At 36.2% G+C, this 21626-nt stretch overlaps 2 annotated features.

Annotated features, from left to right (window-relative positions):
- Nucleotides 15415-15964: an enhancer, noted in NCBI's record as "H3K4me1 hESC enhancer chr8:50754554-50755103 (GRCh37/hg19 assembly coordinates)". NCBI's record gives its function as "activates a minimal SCP1, AML or CMV promoter by ChIP-STARR-seq in naive H9 embryonic stem cells {active_cell/tissue: H9 hESC(naive)}" and the evidence as "EXISTENCE:reporter gene assay evidence [ECO:0000049][PMID:30033119]".
- Nucleotides 15965-16513: an enhancer, noted in NCBI's record as "H3K4me1 hESC enhancer chr8:50755104-50755652 (GRCh37/hg19 assembly coordinates)". NCBI's record gives its function as "activates a minimal SCP1, AML or CMV promoter by ChIP-STARR-seq in naive H9 embryonic stem cells {active_cell/tissue: H9 hESC(naive)}" and the evidence as "EXISTENCE:reporter gene assay evidence [ECO:0000049][PMID:30033119]".

A 21626-nucleotide genomic window follows, 5' to 3' on the forward strand; every position in this document is an offset into this window, starting at 1 on the left:
GAAATTCTCTATTAACTGAAACCATTTTATCAAACTTAAAATTGTAAGTTATGCTGAGCCGTATTCATTAACCATTATTATTAATACACAGTGTAATGTATTTGCAGGGTCTTAATCTTCACTTGTCACTTCTCTGTATAACTTGACTGTGAAAAATGTAGATGTTTCCGAAGACACTAAATCAGTTATTACACCAAAGGAAGGTACTTCCCAGGCTTATCAGGGTCTGTTTCAAAATCTTCAGCCAGGAAAAACAAACTGATCTTCGTATATTGGTAAAGTTTTTTCTTCATTGTGTGACAGTTTTCCCCTTTCCACTTCAAAATGTTAGCATTGTCTGAAAAAATATGAGTCTTTACTCTTTTCCTTTTTGTTGATACCACTTCTGTATTTACTCATCCCTAATGAGCTAATTCCAACTGCAGCAGAACAAACTCTATGCAGTATGCACAGATATATTTTCAAGAAAGTGAAAGCTATAAAGAAAGTATCTTACTCTCATGCTCTTTTCCTGTAAGAGGAAGGGACCAGCTCAGTCAGCCAGTGCCAAGCTCTTTTTGAGAGCTTGTACCAAGACTAGATGTTCGCAGTGATGCAACATCTTCGGGTAGTACAGGGCAAGAAGGGCCCTTGCCCACTATTCAGTATCCCCAGGGGTCCTATTCTTACTATCCCTGGTTTCAGTTGTTGGAGTCGTCTTTCCTACGCTGCTTGACCTCCTTAATATTTTCTGTCCTTTGTCTATTCCCTCCTGTTTCTTTTTCTTTTCCTTCCTTCCTTTATTTCTTTCTAATAAGCCTTAAACTGAAACAAGCAAATAAACAACAAGACGAACAAAGGAATGGTTCAATAACTCAATTAGTTCTGAAATTATTGCAAATGTTAAAAATTTTTATAATTTGACTGGGTCCCTTAAATCATAATGTCTATCCTAGCAAGATACCCAATGTAAAAATATATGTATCTAATTATAAATGATCCTGAGTTCTCTGTAATTAGCAAGGACTACTCATTCTCCTAGTATAACACCAGACAACTAACTTATTAACAATAATTTTATTTTTCAATTTTGAATTTTTATGTTTCACATATTAAAATATTTCATAAATTGTGCAGCTATCTTTTTTTTTTTTTTTGAGACGGAGTCTCGCTCTGACCCCCGAGCTGGAGTGCAGTGGTGCGCTCTCGGGTCACTGCAAGCTCCACTTCCCGGATTCACGCCATTCTTCTGCTTCAGCCTCCCGAGTAGCTGTGACTACAGGCGCCCGCTACCATGCCCGGCTAATTTTTTGTATTTTTAGTAGAGACGGGGTTTCACCATGTTAGCCAGGATGGTCTCGATCTCCTGACCTCGTGATCCTCCCGCCTCGGCCTCCCAAAGTGCTGGGATTACAGGCGTGAGCCACTGTGCCCGGCCGCAGATATTTTTCTTGAATGAGTACATTGTTTTTCCGCCCAGAGAAAATGTAGTAATTATCATTTAGTATAGGACTGATCCAAATATATATGTATAACAATGGGAAACTATGGGTATTTATTATTTCAGATATATTCAAAAAGTTTTTAAGTCCCTTGATAAATTTGAAAAAGAAAATATCTAGCACTTGTATAGATCCCTGGACAATTTCTGTTGTTTCCTCTGTTTCATATCTGAAGTGGAATCAGGATGCGTAAGATTTGCTGTGTTTTGAACCTACTAAATCACACTTTTTTAAGAGCAGAGTATTTGTAATGTTCTAAGAAGCATGCTACTATTCCAAAGGATCCCCTTTCCTGTCATGTTAAAAGAACTTCTTAGCAGCAAAGGGAACTTTCGTATTCTGATAATTTCTTCCTTATTTCTTTGTCTCCATAGTGTTTTGACACATTGTGTTTCCTTAGTCTCCTTGGTAGCTAAAGATAGCTCTGCTTTCCAAAGCAATAAAATGTGGAATTATTTTAAATATCATGCTCTCAACTTTTTACGTTTTCTACAAGGGAACTTTATTGTTGGGGAAATAAAACAAACTGCCTTCATAGTCTCTTTCTCCTCTACTTCAGATCCAAATTTTCCAAACTCAGGACTTTCTTATACATCAATCAATACAATGTGAGGATGTTATTGAGTATGAATAATGAAGTGGAGTGGAGTGGATGAACTGGATTATAACGTGACCAGAAGATACATTTGGCATAGGAATATGAACAGCCCTATCCTGGGATGAAATGATATTTCCTGTTTAGGTGAAGATACCCTAGAATGTAGGATGCTTTACAAAATCGTAGTGATAAGACTTCTACATTATGGAAGAAATGGTATGCTCTGTGTTTTCACTAAAGATCGAATTGTCAGTTCAGTTTTTACTAGAAAAATATAATTTTGTTTTCAAACATAAGTTTCGCTACCATTTGGCCACAAAATTTTACTGTCTCCCTGGTGAGTTAGTTTATTTGTTCTTATGTTTTCCATTTCCTTCATGTGACCAATATTGCATCTCTAAGATGCCATGGCTGTAATTTGTGAGAAGCAGGCAGGGGATGGAGAGGTAGAGAACTGTTTTATGCCTTACAGAATTTTCCACACTCTTTGATTTTCAACCATATACAAGAATGAATTTGATTAAAATTAATTTTACATATTTTTCTATTATTAGTACATGATAAAACTGTTGCATCTGTTAACTGAAGAAATAAATTATTCATAAAATGTTAATATATAATTGGTTAAATATTTAGAAACATATAGTTAGAGTATTGTCTCATGTCACCAAAATGATTTCCAACTGGAATAAAGATTTATATATAAAAATTAAACCATAAAATACGAAAGAGTACATTTAAGGAGGGGATGTTTTTTCTATATGATACCTAAAGTGAAAATGAAAAAAAAGGATAAACAGAATTAAGTACATAATAATTTAAAAGGCTATGTATTACAAATAGAGCATAAGTAAAGTCAAGACTAAATGAAAAACTGTAAAAATAGTTGAATATCATAAGATAAAAATTACTAGCTTTTTCAAGAATGAGCATTTTAAAAAACCAGTAAGAAAAGTTGAGGACTATAGTGGAAATTGAGTGAAATTTATGAAGAGCTAATTTATAGAATAATAAATTCAATTGCTGGTAAATATATGGAGAAATTTAATTTCACTAGCAAAAAATTCAAAATATGATAAATATATAGCACATATTTATCTATTGGGACAAAGTGTAACCATGTAAAACCAGTGAGTTTGTATTGCTATCTCATGGCTAGCGTTCCAAGGTAAAAGCTAGTGGATCTGTGTGTGTGTGTGTGTGTGTGTGTGTGTGTGTGTGTATGTATAAATGTCTAGATGTGTTTATTTGTATGTACATTTATTAAGTTATATACTGTGTCTACCAAATTGGCTTATAAATTAAAAAGTGCTCATAAATTAAGTAAATAAATCCAAGCAATTTTCAAGTTTACCTGACTTAAGTAAATCATTACTAAACAAGCTGGCTTTAAAATTATTGGTAAAATAAAAATAAAATGTCTTCAGAATTGTCAGCATACATTTTTGTCTGGATTTTATATCTGTCTTTGACAGATATTTTGAGATGTCTGTGTTTGGCATAGATGGTTATAAAGCTATTTACCCAGCCAAAATAAAATGATCTTGGTTTGTGTGCCTTCTTTGAAAAATGAGACTAATTTAATGTTGTTAGCTGAATTTTCTGAGTTATTGGCAAAAATTACCTATATGTTTAACTTTGAAGCTGTTCTTTAGGTGAGCATCTGATGTTTGCTGGCTATTAAAAAATGGTTATTTTAAAAGTGGTTAACAAGGATATAACTAGCTTTATAGTGTCTAATATCTCAGTTTATAGGAGTAATGTAGATAAATTGTTAAAAATGAAAGAATTGAGTATATGTAAATGAGATAAATGTTTTAGGTCAACTTTTTGAGTAACTTAAAATATTAAAATTATTTTTTATGTTCATTAAATATCTGGGTCATTTCCAACTAAGAAAGGGTTATGATATGGAGAAATGTTTATAAAAATTATGGAATTGTTCTTATCTATAAAATGCTTTTATCTGATAGTTTAGGATTTCTTGCTTTTTAGGGTTTCACTAAAGTTTTAGGTTACTAAGGATAAGAATTCTAGTCAATACATAATTCTGTATACAAAATGTTCCAAAAAGTTTGTGTTGTTAGTGAGAAAAAGAATACTTTTCTCTAATTCAGAAATTATTTAAAAGTTAGTTCAAATTACAGATTTAAAATGGTTATTTATAAAAGAATGTAGTAAAGAACCAGTAAGTAGGGAAGAAAGATGTGGAAAAAGTTATATATACATATATATATATATCATTATTTGTTTTTGGTAAGGAAGGTTATAAAGAAAAGGTAATGATTTTGAGGAAGGATCTTGTATGGTACATTTTTTGTCCTGAAGTAAAATGGGAAGAAGAAAGAAGGAAGGAGAAGGAGAAGTAGAAGGAGGAGATGGAGGAGGAGGAAGAAGGGGAGGGCATGTGCAGGAGGAGGAGAAGGAGAAGGAGAAGGAGAAGGGGAAGGAGAAAATCTGGGGCTGAATGGAAACCCCAGGATGTTGTGGATGGTCTGTATAAGTCATATGTAGTTTTTCCTCTTCTTTTTCACATACAGAGAGAATAAAAAGTTGATAATGTTTAGATAATAAAATATTCTTTAAAATCTGATAGAGAATTGGAGAAATTTGTCTCATTAACATTTTCATAGTTAAAGCTCTTAGTCTTGATTAAAGCAAAATAAGAAATATTGTAAAGAAATGCATTGGCAGTTTGCCAATATTTATTTATTTATTTATTTATCTATTTTTGGAGACAGGGTCTTCCTCTTTCACCTAGGCTGGAGTGCAGTGGCTCAATCTTGGCTCACTGCAACCTCCGCCTCCCAGGTTCAAGCAATTCTCTTGTCTCAGCCTCCTGAGTTGCTGGAATTACAGGCACACACCACCATGCCCGGCTAATTTTTTTTAGTAGAGATGGAGTTTTGCCATATTGGCCAGGCTGGTGGCAATTTTTCTTTTTATATAGTTAAGAATGAAGCTGGATTTAGTGTACATGTTTGCATTGCTTCACACTATGTATGCTATTTTGCATGGATAGTGCTGGCACTAGAGTCCTTACTGGTCATGTGCCTAGAGCAAATTTCTTGATTGCACAGGATGTATGGTGATATTGGTGGACTTAAGGATATTGAATTGTGTATCAGGAATAAAATATTCATTATATGGGGTTTGTAGACTCTAGGTAACACTTTAACCTCTAAGGTAAACTGATAAACTTAGGACTGGTTTCCTGTTTATTTGTTTTTGCTTCTAATTTTCATTTGTTTTGCTGTTTCTTCTCCTTTGGGTTTTACTTGTGTATGCATATATATAATCATATATAAAACTATAGACATTTTTTACCTTCCAGTCAAAGGCTTTTGTTTAGTTCTGTGAATATTTTGTTTCCTATGCATTTCTAGCAAGTCATCATCTGTTCTATTTATCTGGAATTCCTAGGTTGCCTTTGGTGGGGCCTGCAGGAATTGATGGAGCACACCAGCCACTTGGAATTTCTTTGGTTTTGCTTGCTTCTGATGATCTAGACAGCTAAATAAGTAAAAGACCTATTTTTATAAATTCTGAACAGAAATAGTACATTATATGTTTTGTTGTTTGGAGAGGTGGATGAGTGCAAAAATATTTGAGTGGTGTTTGTTTCCAGGGTGACTCAATTGAATCAACACTTTGGATTGGTTTCAGATCTTTCCTTTGAGGAAAAAAATTGTGAAATGAGTACAGTTTTAATGTTCAGTAAAGATTGGCTTTGTCCTTAAGGAAATTATATTGATTAGAATTTCTTTAAAACTAATTTAAAGTGACACTCACTTGGATTAAGTAGTAATATAAAAAAGGGTGAGACTTTCTAGTGATTTTTTATCTCAAGCCATTTATCACTGATGGGCCTTCATGTTGTACTTAAAATATTTGCAGCTGTCGCACTGGTTTGAAGATTTTGGTGATTAGAGTTACCTAATTGAGGTAGGAGAACAGGGTCTGGGGGCAGGGAACCTAAGGACTTCCTAGAACTAAATCAAATAAAAAAACTCCAGCTTCCTATGATCAAGTAAATAACTTTGTAGCTCTACTTCAGCTGTAACAGGAAATATCCTCTTCATTTGTACACAGGGTGTACATCAAGTAAATGACTTTATAACTTTACTTCAGCCTCTTCATTTCCATAGGGCATACACCAAGTAACCAATGGGAAACATCTAGAGGATATTTAAACCCAAGACAATTTTGTAACAGAGCCTTTGAGCTGCTTGCTTGGGCCTGCTCCCCCCATGTGGAATGTACTTTCATTTTCAATAAAGCTCTGCTTTTGTTGCTTCATTATTTCCTTGCTTTGTGCTTTTTGTCCAATTCTTTGTTAAAAATACCAAGAATATGTACACCCTCCACCGGTAACATAATCAGTTGTCGGTACTATATCTAGAAAGCAATCTTGGAAATACGTGGTGATGCTCTTTAAAAATAGCTGAAAGGAAATTATCATTTGCTTATTCTTACTTTGTTCTTGTTTTGTCATATAGTATTTAAGTGAGAGGAGAGTATTTCTCATTGAATTTCCAAATCTGATATTTGCATTTATCATTTTTTAATGATGGAGAAAAAAGTTAGTTGTCTTACTCTGGTAAGTTTGGCATAGGACCTATGACATTTTTGATGTGTTTGGTCATAATTCTGTTACTAGAATGCTGGCAATTAGATATATGCAAAGAATACCTAACTACTTTAATACAATGGTTTGAAGTACTGCAGGAAGTAATTCCCAAACACCAAATCACAGTGTTTTAATTTGTAACATGTTAGAGAAAATGATAGGATTTTTCTGCAGCATAAATATCCTATTAACTAAGGCCTGTGCTGTTAAGTTACAGGGCTTTGACTTTTGAGTCTAAAGAAAGCACCAATCCCTGCTACATTTTGAGCATTGACACCAGTTGAGCATCATCACTAGACTAGGGAGAAGGTGACAATCAAAATGTATTGCTTTTGTGAGACATAGGGTCAGGAATTAAAACTATGTAATTCTCTAAGACCAGAGACTATTGTGGAAGAGATGGGTGCTTACAATTATAAGCGCCGATTTTGCGGGATAAGATTACTTCAGAGTTTTTCTATAAATTAAACATTAATATCAAAGGCACTCTGATACAAGGCCAGCATCTGGGCCCATGTGTTGGAATAACAGGGTTTTCTTGGACCATTGATCTGGTATTTAATAGAAAATTGGAAAATGTTATAAAAAGTTTATGGAAATCTTATGGTCAAACTGATTAAAAGTAGGCAGATTTGTTTATGAGGTTTTATTAAAATCAACTTTCACATTTATTATACACCATGTAAAGGCAAACGTTTTCTCTTTTGAACAAAATGTTTGTGTAATATTGAGAGGAAATATTTTGTTTACCTTCTGAGCAAACTGCAGGGAGAAGATGGAGGAAGGAGAGACAGATATAGCTGGCCTCATGGTGTCTGTATTAGGTCTTATTGTTTGGGAAACTGAGTCTCCTCTATCAAAAGGTAAAAGTTTTTGTTTTATCATTATGGATAAATGAATGACTGTCTTATGGTAATCAGTGATCCTACTTTATCATATCAAATTTCTTAAAACCTTGATACTTCACAGACTTTCAACAAAATTCCAGGTTCTAAATTTAGTCTTTTTGATCTTAAACTACCTTTTTTGATATGAGGTTCCCTGAAGTCCAAGAGAGACATATTAGGCTTATTAGGTTTATTTGTTATGTTAGTGGAAATATTGTCAAATCTGAGGTGGTGTTTACCTTCCTTTGGGTTATATTTATACAGATGTTTTGTTCATATGTGGTCCAGGATAGTATGACATTCCTAAAATTCTTAATGTATGTTGTAATTATTATGTTAAATTGTTGTATGCCACATAAATAACCATATTTCCTTGTCAACCGTGTCTTTAACTATGGCTGTGTTAAGACTTTTGTCATCCACAATTGATGTTTTGCTTTGATCCTTCTCAGAAAAAGTGACTTATAATCAGCTACAGTCCAGGGCTTGCTTCTTTGGAGGAGTTCATGAAAAGGACTATTGAATGCAGGTTTCTGATAACTTTGGAGATTGTGCCCTTGGTTGGAGAGAAAATTTGCAGGGCACTAATTGAAAGACTGCTGTGTTCATAAAGATTACTAACCCAGTATGAAGCAGCGAAGGTGTTGACATGCATGGACTGAACTAATGGAGAACAGAAATGATTTTTTATGGTGCTTTGGTTTGAAATATTGTGGATTGTTTTTGTTTTGCTTTTCAGAGTCTGGAGAGTTTTTTTCTTTTGAGCTACTTATAGTATTGAAATATACTTTATGTATATTGAGTAGAGTATATTTTGTAAACAGAATTTGAGTCATTTCTTGGTCTGCCTAATTTCTCCAGAATTTGTAAGCTATTTGCAAATATTCATAATTAATGGCAATGTGTCTGTTTGCATACATTTAATAACCACAAGTTTTCTTTTGTAATGGTTATTTTCTCAGGGCTCTGACTGAAATGGCCATATGAGAGGTTCTGCCAAAGCCAATTTAGGAGAGCCTATGTGAACAATAATTCTTGCTGCACTTCATGTGGGTAATCAGGCCAAGTATATGGGACCGAAACATATTTTGCAGGTAGATTTGTCCTACTCTGTTTTGTCTTTGGAAGTGGGGGACTGGAGAGAGGAATATTGTATGTCAGAAGAAAACTCTATAAGAGTAAACTTTGATTCCTAGGTGGCTACATGGTCACCCATAGTATGGAGCTGACTGTGGCACCCCTCTTCATCATGAAACAGCCAGAAAGACTGACAGCCTTTCATGATTAAGGAATTTATAAACAAAACAGAAAGGGGGAACTGAAACCAACCCAGTAATCCCATAGATCGTTCTTTTGGATGAACATAGAAATTGACCTTTCTGGTCTTAAGGCATGAAACTTATATTTGTTTTATCTGAGTTCCTTCCTCAGAAAAGGACTTTCAGGCTCTCAAAAAATATATGGAAAAACTGAAACTCACCAGATTACCACATCCTGACAATGGGGCTCTGAATTTCTCATTCATCATGTTGCTTCCCTGCCCCTCCTAGTTCCTGTTTTGTTTACACATTATTACATTTTGTCCCTGCTATATAAGCCTCTAATTAGAAGTCAGGGAGATGAACTTGAGACTGAGGTTCCATCTCCTTGGCTGCGGCACTCAATGAAAGCCTTCTTCTTCGGCAATACTTGTTGTCTCAGTGATTGGCTTTCTGTGCAGCAAGCAGCAGGACCTAGACCAAATCCCTGGTGTTTCAATAACAAGATTAGCATCATTGTCCTATTACCTAGATTGAGAAAGAGTACAATATCAGTATCTTGGATTCTCTGTTGTACCCCACAATCATAGCTTCTTCTGCTCCCTCAGGATTAATCAACTTTCTAAATTTTGTGTAATGACAATCTCTTTATAAAAATAGTTTTATTTCCAAAATATGTACATCTATATAATATATCATTTAGTTTTTATTATTTTTAACAATTTTTGTATTCTAAATATCTTCTTTCAGTTGCTACTTTCTCTTATTGCAAAGTTTTTGAAATGTGTCGATGTTGTTGCATGTAGTTGCAACAACTACATGTAGTTCATTAATTTGTGAGAATATGTAGTATTCCATAATATAAATGCACCAAAATATATGTGTACATTTTACTTCTATTAAATGTTCAGCTAGTTTCCTCTTTTTTAAATGGTTCTATGAGCGAGACAGAGGAGGGACTCCCTTTTAGAGGCCTCTTGGACCCCCTAAACATGGAAATAAATGAAAATTTAAGTTTCTTCAAGGGAAATTCCAGACACCTAGCTAGCCCTGAAATGTAAATAAGCAACTTAATAAGAAAGAAGGAAGGTAATAGTAGCTTAAAACAATAGCCAAGGAAATTATAGTCAGGAGATGTTTGGTTCTCTATAGAAACTAAATGTAACATCTTAAAAAATGTTCCTGACTTGTTTATTTGAAACATCAAGCTCCACTGAACAGATTCCATGGCAGTACACTTCAGATAATGGGAATTGAAGACTGAACTCTGACCACAATTCCTTGTTCTAAATTTCCTCCTGAGGTGCCTGGAGGGAGTCACATGCAGAAACCAGAGCTAACAGTCTTTTCTGCTGGCCCAAAATTTTTAAACAAAGCTTCTTCCTTAGCCAATTGCAAATCAGAAAATCTTTGAACCTCCCTATGAATCCTGGTTCAAGATATCCTGCCCTTTTAGGTGAAAAGCAATGTGTAACCTCCATGTATTTATTTATGATTTTGCCTTTAATTTCTGCTTTCCTGAAATTTACTCCTGTCTTTAAAAAGTCTTACTTTAAAGCCATTGAGGAGGTCAGAGTTTAACCATAGTTGCCTGAGTCCCTTTGCTTGGTGCCTTGCAAATAAATACTTTCCTTTCTCCTGCTATAAAACCTTGGTGTGGATATCTGGTTTTACTGTCCTGGGCGAGTAGATCATAGTTTGGTTCTATAACATGAACAGTCCTATATTTTGCCACTTAATGCTACATATGCAAAAGTTTCTTTAAGCTGATATCTAAGAGCAAAATGGCTAGGCCAAAAAAATTTGCACATTTTAATTTTAATAGGTAATGCCAACTTTTTTTTTCCAAAGTTGTTGTGATTTATATTTTTATCAGCCATGGCTGAGTTGCTATTGCCTCACATTTTAATGTACATTTGGCTTAATCTGATTTGTCATTTCACCAATTAGGTGCATATGCAATGGCATCTCATTTTGATGTTAATTTACATTTTTGTGATTATGAGGCAGGAGAATAGGGTCAGGAGGCAGGAAACTTAAGGCCAATTCATGCTGAGTCAAGGAAAAACACCAAGGTCTGGGGGAAGCAGGAAGTCTAAGGTCAATTGTTGCTAACTTCCCAAAGGTGGTTCAAAAGAAAAACACTTGAATATGGGGAGCAGAGACCCCAAGGCCAATTAACACAAACTTCCTAAAGCTACTCCAAGGGAGAAACCCCATCTCTCCATGCTGAGTAATAAAGGATCACAGGCTACTCTCCCTAAACCCTCTCCCTTCCACCAGGTCTCAGATGGAAAGGGAGAGTGCCCTGGATTGGCTGTGGGCCAAGCAGGGACCATCCTTTCATCTGCATAGGCCGCCAATTCACCTCAGCCCTGAATTAGCCATGAACCAAATCCTTCATCCAGATAAGGAGTAACCAATAGGAACCTCAAATGGAGTACTTAAAAGTCCAGGAAACCTTGTAACTGGGCCCTTGAGCTGCTTGCCCTGGGCCCACTCACACCCTGTGGAGTGCTTTCTTGCTTTTATAAATCCTTGCTTTCACTGTTTCATTCCTGTGTTTTGTCCCTTTGTTACTCTGTTTGTGTGTTTTGTCCAATTCTTTGTTCAACATTCCAGGGACCTGGACAGCTCACACTCAAGGTCTGCCTTCCAGTAATAATTATTAATGATATATGTATCTTTATATAATTATGAGCCACTTATATTTGCTCTTCTGTGAAATGACTGCTTGTATCTTTGCTCATTTTTTGCTTTTAGACAGATGGGGGAGGGCCAAGAGTTTGTCTGCTTCTCAGTTGCCTTCAGCTCAAAATAATTCTCATGCCAAAGTGGCATATTTTGAGTGGCATATTCTGCTACCCTTCAAAAGTTTGGCAAGCTGAGTGGATAGACATCGTTCTGAGATAATCCAAGAAAATAGTCACAGAACTCTCACCTGTGCATGAAGTGGACAAGGATGTATTCTTGAAGAGCCGGCTTGGCGCAGTGGCTCACACCTGTAATCCTAGCACTTTGGGAGGCTGAGGCAGGTGATGCTTGAACCTGGGAGGCAGAGGTTGCAGTGAGCCAAGATCATGCCACTGCACTCCAGCCTGGGTGAAAGAGTGAGACTTTGTCTCAAAAAAAAAAAAAAAAGAAAAATGTAAGAGCCTATGTGTCCCCTTAATGCTGATTGTGACCTGCGGCAGTATGGAGGTGAAGGAGTGATGGGCGACCCCTGTTTTCTGAGTGCATCAGTGACAGGTTCACCTGCCTTCCTCACCTTCCGTCTGTCAAACTCTTGCCTCGCTACTGATGGGCCTCTCTTCTCCTTTTCCTCACACAATTCTTCTCTGTTCTCTTTACTTCCTTTGTGTTGTTGTTTGCTAATTTCACTCTGCGCTCATATTTGGGCCTTATCTGAAAATGGCTGTGAAGCTTGTCATGGTGCGCCTACTATTGTAATTGGATGCACAGCATGGGTTCTGTTTTTGCCTTTGTTTCACAAAGCAAGGTACAAATGATTGGTTTCTAATGCTATTTTGAAAGTGGTTGATTTTCATCTGAATTAAACTGTGTTTATTTTCAGCTCCATGCTTGTATGTTGGGGGAAGGGCATATGTGTGTGTGGGCATGTGTGTATGTGAGATTCAGAATCAATTCCTACTTTCTCCATAGCATGATACCCATAGCAATTCATTCTTAACAGGGAAGATTACAATTGAGGTCAATCATCCCTTCAAATTTGCTCATAAATACATTCATAGAATGACAATTTTGGATGAAAGGAAATATATAATAAATGAGAATAAAAAAGTATATTGACGATGTGCTTGAAACATTGAAAAAAGAAAAGTCAGTCATTAAAGACTTTTAAAAAATTGCTTGATTAATAATGATTGAGTTTTTATATTTTATCCAGATTTATTAACTTTCATGATACAAAATACTCCTAAGTGATTTCAGAAACTACCAAATATATTTATCCCAAGTCATTCTAGTTTTAAAAATTAATAACTTTTGCATAAATGCTGGACTACAGAGTCCCTATGAACATTGCTCAATGGCTTTTACTATAATTGAAACATGAAAAGTTCCAATCAGTACATTTAATGGTGTTGGACTCTAAAGATTTCTATATGCAAAGAAGTGTGAATTAAAAACAACTGTTAAAGTAATTACAATCTCCTTCAGTGAAACTTTATGGAGTCTCTTTCTGCTACTTCTAGTGAAGCTCCTCATTGGCATACTCTCACTATACAGGTTTTTAATTAAATTATTCCTTGATTATGTTACCCCAATTCCATATTCCTTGTAGACCCAAATTCTTACCCAAAATCCTAGTTGTCATCTCACTAACACAACATGTTTCCTCTTGTCATGGTCCTGTCTTCCTAGCCAAACTGAAGCTGAGCAGCCCTCAGGTCCTGTGTTATCTTGGGAACTGCATCGCTTCTTGAGCTCTCTTTTCTGAGATCACAAATGTCGATTTTCGAAGCAGCTATTTTAATGCTTCACAAATTTACATCTTATACAAAAATGTGTGTGTACAGTAGTGTTGCGGTAAGGAAGACATGAATTACATGGAAACATATCTCCCCAGGCTAATAAAACAACAGTGTCACTAGCTCACGTTTCTGAACATCTTCAAATTTTTTCTCAAGCAAATGATGCAATCATTATTTTTAAATATTTGCATTGAATATTGACGTCGTTTCTCTAGTCTTATCTGTTCTTGAGGCTCGGGATCTGTGCTCTGCTTTTTGCTGAGCTGGTTCTAGGTTTGTATTGATTTATTCATTCCCTTCAGAGTTTCCTTGGAATTTTGTCTTTCACCCTTGGACTCCTATTAACTCTCTTTTCCCAATTATCATGAATGATGTTCCTGTCTACCTATGATCCTTCAGGGATCTGAATTCAAGGGAAACTGGTATAACTTAATGTTGTCCATTAGTTTCTTTGAATTTCTTCATCTTCTCTCATCTTTCTTCAGAAGAATTCAGACTAATATGTATTTTTAATTTATTCTAATGAAATATCTCTTATAGAATTTACTTAGCATTAACCATGATTCAAGCACTGCAATAAATTCTTTGGTAGATATAATTATTCTCCCTTTTGTATGAAGAAACCAAGACTTAGAAATTGAATAATATTTCAAAGTTCATGTAGGTATTAAGGGTTGGAAATAATATGTAAACCTAGGCGTGTGTAATTTTACAACTCAGCTCAAACCACTTATTATATGGCTTCTCATTTTTAGAGATTCTTAATGTTGGAATCGAGAATACTCTAAAAGTGTGATATGTAGCTCTTCCCTGGGAAAATATATTATTTTTTATCATATAAACCATAGTAATTTAATAATACAAACCACAGTAACTTTTATCAAATGAGTAAAAAGAGAATTATACTTTTCTATAATTAAATATTTAGTTAAATATGTATATACTAGTAGGGATATAGCTTCTACATACTGCTTGTCTCCTATCCTCTGGTTTTTGTTTTTCTTTTTAACTTAGGGAGGAGCTGGGCTTATGGTGGATATTGGATATTTGATACAGATACAATCATACTTTTAAAAAATTTTCTTATTGCTTTGTTAGATATTTTAATATAACTATTTTCTATTTTTTACATAAGCATTTTAAAGTTATTCATAATAGCTGTATAACATTCAACCATGTGGATAAACCAAATTCAATTAAAAATTGTTCATATCCTATGTTTAATACGATTCTAATTTTTATATGTTAAAAGATTCCTGTGTTTTTCCTTATAAGTAATGAATTCATTAAGTATCCTTTTTAGAAACTTTTAATTTTATAAGATTTTTTAATAGAAAAGTTGAGAAGGTTCGATATATATCTAGTATATCTAGTATCTCTATCTAGTATATAGAGATATACCTAGTATATCTATACTAGATATACAGAAAGTTTCTGTATGTCTAACATTCAAATCAATTTTGATACATTGTTATTAAGTAAAGTCCATAATCTATTAAGATTTCCTTAGTTTGTACTCAGTGTCTTTTCTTGTTCTAGGGCCCCATCCAGGATTCTGCATTTGATTTAGTTACCGTGACTTCCAGGTTCCTCTTGGTGGCACCACTTTCTCACATATCCCTTATTTTTAATGACCTTGACAGTTTTGAGGAATACTGATCAAGAAATTTGTAAAGTGTTCCTCTGTTAGGATTTATCTGTTTTTCCATTTCAGACTGGGGTTATGGGTTATGGGTTTTTGAATAGGTGAAGCTTGATTTTCATCCATCCTACGAAGGGTATACACCATCAACATGACTGATCTCTGTTGATACTGACCTTGACCACCTGGCTGAGGTAATGTTTGCTAAGATTCTGTGCTGCAAAGTTACTCTTTCCTCTCCTTTTCTATATTGTATTCTTTGACAGAGGTCACTATGTGCAGCCTACACTTCAGGAGTGGGAAGTCATGCTATACCTATGATAGCAACAGGAGACAGAGAAATTCTAGGTAGACAGTGGCAGGTCCCTGGCAAAGCCCCACCTTCAAGCTGAAAAGCCTCACACCATGGCCCAAAGTGAGAACTGACATCCCTGTTTTCCTGCTTGAATGTTGCCTTTTCCAAAACCACTCATGGCCCTGTCTCACCACTCCCATCCTGTGCCTATAAAAACCCCATATTCAACTGGCAGGGAGGAGAAACAGCTGGCAGTAAGAGAGAAGCAGCTTGATTTCAGAGGGACAGCTTGACGGTGTAACTTCAAGGAAGAATGTGGCTGGAGACGACCAGACTTCAGGAGAAGATTACCTTCCCGTCCTGTCCCCTTTTCAGCTCTCCTTGCTGCTGAGAGCCACTTTTATTGGCAATAAAATCACTGCATTTACCATTTTTCAATTCATTCATGTGAACTCGTTTCTCCTGGATGCCAGACAAGAGCTTGGGAGCCACGAGTACAGATGCAAAAGGCTGTCACACTTGCCTTTTGCCCTTGCTGGCAGAAGGCAACCGCTCGCTGCACATGAAAAGGTAGAAGGCCCACTGAGTTGTTAATATTTAAGCCATCTTCAGATGGCCGAGCTAAAAGAGTACTTTAACATGCCCTATGGCACTTCAGGGATCATGGGCACCCCCCAAGTTGCTGCCGCAAGGCCCACACGGAGTTTGCTCCTACCAGCACCCAGAAGTTCTCGCCCTGGCTCCTGCACCTGTTCATGTGTGTGCTCCCCCTTACAAGGGGTGGAATGCAGCGGGTCTGAGTGAGTGGAGTTTGCCCCTGCCTCACCAAAGCAATCAGCTGGTTCCAGCATGCATGCACTCTAGTTCCCACCTCATTTGCTTACATGCTCCCTCCCAAGAGGAGTTGAAAGCTGTGGGCTGGGTAAACGAGGCACCCCTGTTGTGAGTCCTGTGAAGAGGTCAGGGAAATATCCTGCTTCACCTATTTGAGGGCAGAATATATACATAAATTGTTTTGAATCCTCTGCACTGGAGATGTGCCTCTTCTCCCCCACTTCTGTATTTATTCAATCATTATTTATATCACTATGTACTCACAGCCTTTTATGTTATAGTTTTAGTTATGATCTAAACGTATTTTATTTATGTTGTTTGATCAGATTGTCCCAGGTTTGTCCATTGGGAGCTCTTCCAGTTGATTCCTGCGTCTCTTTGGCATAGTTCCATCGTGTGTGTGTGTGTGTGTGTGTGTGTGTGTGTGTGTATTTTGTGTGTGCACATGCAGGCATGTGTTTGAGCATTTTCTTTTCTTTCTGTCACTGTGGGATGCTTCAAGCTTATCTTGTATATTCCCTGAAACAGAAAGTAATGTCATAAAGAAGAGATTGTAAAGAGCCCCTGCAGCTCAGGGCAGACTTTTCTGAAAATTGAAATTATCCCAGATAGCCACAGCTTTAGAAACTCTTCTAAAATGTTGCCTCTACTCTGTCCTCTGATAGGTCTGATGAACATAGGAGATTTTCACCTCCACTCTTACATTCTCACATTATACAGATTCTGGACTCTGCTGACAATGCCTTGAAAGTCAAAGACTTGTGGCAATAGAAGTATATTGAGGTGTGTTCTAATTTTAGGTGAATCAATACCCATTCTCTATTAATATGCCGCAGCAACCATTTGCTGAGTGATTCTCACATAATTCATAGACTGCTGGGCTTCTAAGCTCCTTCTAGAAACAGGGTTTATGGCATCCCTATAGGCTGAGCAAGCACTTTGCTTCCTGTGTCTTTTACAGACCAAACCACTGGCTGTTGGGCATTTAAGTGCAGGAAATTTACACCAAGTACAGAGCAAAGTGGGTAATGAATGCTGTCTTTTAGCTCCCTTTGCCCACACCTTAACAGAAAAGGACAGTGAGAATTTTGCAAAATAAGAAGCTAGGCATGTCTCCAAGCAGGGGGCTGATGACCTGTGTTGTGTCTTCAGGCCAAGTGGCTATGGGCAGTCCCTCTTTGGGTTTCTCCTACTCATGAAAGGGTTTGAAAAATGAACTGATGGATGTCAATTAATGAGTACTCAAAAGAAAGTAACATAATTCTTGAAGATAAAAGAACCATAATTTTGCCATTTCTTATATTGAAGGCATAAGGCAGGAAATTTATTTTCTTCTATTTTCTCCTCTCTACATTCCTTCTGATATCCTGGGAAAGAATAGATTTTGGAAAAGAAAAGAAGCTCTTTCACAAATGCTTTGGCTTCATTGCAATTCACATGTTTTGTCTTTGGGAAAAAGTTTTGAACCGAATGACTATTAATATCACTTCAAACTCTAAGATTGGCAGTGCCCTCAAACATTTTTAAGAACGTAAGATATGTACAGTAAAATATATTAATAACTTAAACTTCAAATAGGAAACATGTAAAATAATCCATCAGTTGAAGCGTTAAAATTGCATTGCCTCTCCAACTTTAATAATTCTTCTCTCTCCTTCCCATTCTGCTTCTCTCCAGAGAGAGAGCTGTCATGCGGAGAATGAAAGAGAGCACCATGGGGTACAGCCAGACCTGTTGCATGCAGAACTAAGCCAGCTGAGGACAAGGAAAGGGGCACAGAGGCGCATCTTCCTGAAACAATTGGTGTCCTCTTCTCTGCTGGATCTCTAACTGGAGAGGAGACAGGCAGAAAAGCCCTGTTTCTGGCTCCTGCTGAGACACTGACTGCCAGAGTAAGTCTGCTGTCTTCAGGAGCAAGGTAGCACCACACACTGTGTCTACTTATTTCCTCAAATGCGTGAGTATTAGCACTATTCCCAATTGATACAGAAACTCAATTCTTAAGTTATTTACACATGAAAGTGAAAACTACCTGTTACATAAAATAATGAATCACAAATAAATTCTATTTATTGTAAATTATCTAACTTAAAGACTACCTATAACATTTTAGTTTTAAGCTTGGTCATGAAGAATGCAGGCCTCATAAACCATTTAATGGGGGAATATTAATGGTTAAATCAAATTATTAGATATTTGAAGATTGCATTTTTTCTAATGAATAGACAAAAGTTTCATTTTTTATTTTATGTTAGTCAATGAAATATTTGACGTGCTTTTATGGCAGTGTCTTGGCAATCACTAAAGCCACTTAGCACAAGCCATCACCCCAATGCTCAGACTTCGAATTCTCTGGTGTGTTTCATTGACATTATACATATTCTGTATCAATCAGGACAACTGAACCATGCTGAGTACCTGGGCAAGTTGTTTGTGCCTTTGCTGACAAGATTGATTACCCGTGCAAAGCTTGAAATATTTAATTATCCATGATTAAATATAGCTCCCTTCTTTGGAATTTGCATGTTTATACCTTTTCAGAATTAAAAGAATGTGTACGTGTATATATAGCAACATCACAGAGTAGCATACTAACACAAGGAAACCCTATGGAATCCATATGAGTTATACATTTGACAGCAAACATTGAGTCCTCTATTTAGAAAAATTAATGTACAAATTATTCTATATTAAAAATGACACCTCTGTTTCAAAATATGGCTACTCCAATGACTGTATTTTTAGATGTTAATGTGGAAATACCAAATTAAATCTATTATCTACTATTATCTATCTATTCTTCTAAAGTGGAAATACCAACTTCAATTTATTATCTATTATCATGCTAACCACAACTTAGAATGTGGTTAGATAGCTATCATTTCATGATAGTTCCGTCAGTTTTATCAATAACAGAATGTTTTCTGCAAAAATTCAGCCACTTTAGTAATTCTAAAATTCTGGAAAGGTGCTAGAAACAAAATTTAAAATTATTATCAACTGGTAATATCATATGCTAATAATGGCATGAAAGACAAAAAAGTGCTCAGAGAAATGCAGGATAAAATGTCGACTCTCCCTTAAAGTAGAACTTTAAATCAAACAAATTGACTTGTGTCTAATGCAATTCAGGGAACAACTCTGTTTAGAAATGTATAGTATGTAGACAGAAGGCAGACTACCAAAGAGAAACAAATATTTGCTGTGTGTAGTGTGTGTGTGGGAGTGTGTGTGTGTGTGTGTGTGTGTGTGTATACACACACTGCCTAACTTTGGCTTCTGCTTTCAAAATGTGTGCTTTGTAGCACTTCTCATAACATAGCAGGAAGGCACCATGAGGCAAAGGACAGAGCTGACCAACAGAGATTATTGCTCCAGCTCTGACTTTCCCTAGGTCTCAGACTTTCTGTCACTCAGATAATATCATTGCACCTCGTCTTACCCACGTATCTAAGGGGAGTGTGTCATGGCCGACTTATGCTCAGCTCATAGGATGTGGTGAAGATCAAAGTGCATTTAACTTCTTTTTACTCATACATGTTTACTGTGCTCAGAGGTTATAAAAAATTGGGTTGCAGGAGAGGGTTCACACTCCTATATATAATCTGAACCTGTACTTAGGAGTGTAATCATCAAATTAGAAGAAATACTGTGTTTGCCAGGACTGGTGGAGGGGATCATTATTACTAGTTAGGTAAAGAGGGAAGGTGAGTTTTCTCAGTGATGGGCGTGGAATGAGAATACACACCTGGAGATAAAGCTGTGCTGTATTATACCCAAACCTGGGTCTTCAAGCATCAGTCAGATTTGTTTTTAGTGGGATAAACTATTTATCACACTACAGATGTTATAATGATCATTAAGTTAGGTTCTTAATGCGGGGTCATCTGTGAACTTGGATAAGAAAAAAATATGTATGCCTTCAGCTTTAGTAACTTCTAATTGAAATTTAGTACTTTTTTCAAATATGAATATAATTTTAAAACACAGTAGCTTTGGACATACCAAGAAAACTCATAAAATTTTAAATACTTTAACATTTATATACAGTTATTATGGATACATCAAATTTTTGTTTTGCTTATCACTATAATTATGGTATCTTAAAAAGTAAGTAGTCCTTATTAAATCATGGTACTTATTAATCCTTCATTGTTAGATCTCAATGTGGTTAATAAAAGAAGCACTTTTGAAATTGAATTTCAATATAATTTGTTTCCTTTGTGATTATATATATTTTAATCGTTCTTCTGAGACAGGGATCATAGGTACACACTGCCAAAGGAACATTGGCAAAGTTTAAGAGCCTTTGTCCGTCCAGCATTTTCAGTGGCAGAGCAGAAAGTAGAGGCTGCCTTCCTATTTCAGCTTCTTGAAACTATGAGACTCCTGAGGAGATTATCCTAAAGTAGAGATGGTAACAGGATGGGAAAAGAAACGGCTGTACACAGCAGGGAGAAGACCTTGCTAACCGACTCTCCAGGTGGTGGGAAGGGCCTCTGGGGGCTCTGGCTCATGAGGTGCATGGAGAAGGGAGTCACCTGGGCAGTGGGGCTCTCAGGATCAGTAAGGCTGATGAATACAGCTTGACATGCCACAAAGTAGCCTGCAACTTCAAAGAACTGTGTGGACTTGGCCGTAAACAATGCCAGTGGTGACCATAATGGATTAGAACCCATACCCTTGTGTTCTGAGCTCCTGCAAAACCCCCTAACTCCCCACTCAGATAAACTGTGCAACATTTACGAGGGACAGGTTGTTTAAAAATGATTGCATCTGAAATTACAGAAATCTGTTGGCATGAAATCTGATTTATTTTGATGTAGAGAAAATGAAGTCATTTCTCCTACATTCAAGTTTCTGAAGAATACATCATGTTGGTTACCTTACTTATTATTTTATTAGAACATTAACATTTTTATTATAATCACTTTATGAAACGTAGTGAATATTATTTCAAATCCTGAATATTGGGAGGAATGTTGAAGCTTAATTTTTTAATAGCTTTTGTAAACTATACTCTGATTTGGAAGACATATTTTGGACTATTTCATACCAGATGCAGACATTTTTAAATGAATAATAATAACCTTTAAATATGATTATATGAAAATCAACTTTAATCTTTCATTAACGAATATTTATAATGTGTGTACTATGGAATGTACTGGACATTGTTAGAGGCATCAAAATTACAGCCATGGACAAGAGGCACAGGTACTAATTATAATTTGAAGAAGATAGGCAGATGAATGATCACAATAATTTTAGTTGAAGATGATGAATGTTATGAAGGGAGATGATGAGTACCATATAATAGAGAGTGGTGAGTGGCTGGTGGGCTATTTTTGCTGAGCAGTGAGGAAAGTCTCTCTGAAGAACTGGCATTTCTTCTAAGACATCAATGTTGAGTAGAAGCTAGTCACACAGAAGCCAGAGACTCTGGGATGCAGAGGCTCCTGGGAATTAGTGAAAATTAACTGGGGCAGAAAGAATGCATGGGTTCC

The sequence above is a fragment of the Homo sapiens genome, chromosome 8, assembly GCF_000001405.40.
Source record: "Homo sapiens chromosome 8, GRCh38.p14 Primary Assembly".
NCBI classification, from domain to species: domain Eukaryota; kingdom Metazoa; phylum Chordata; class Mammalia; order Primates; family Hominidae; genus Homo; species Homo sapiens.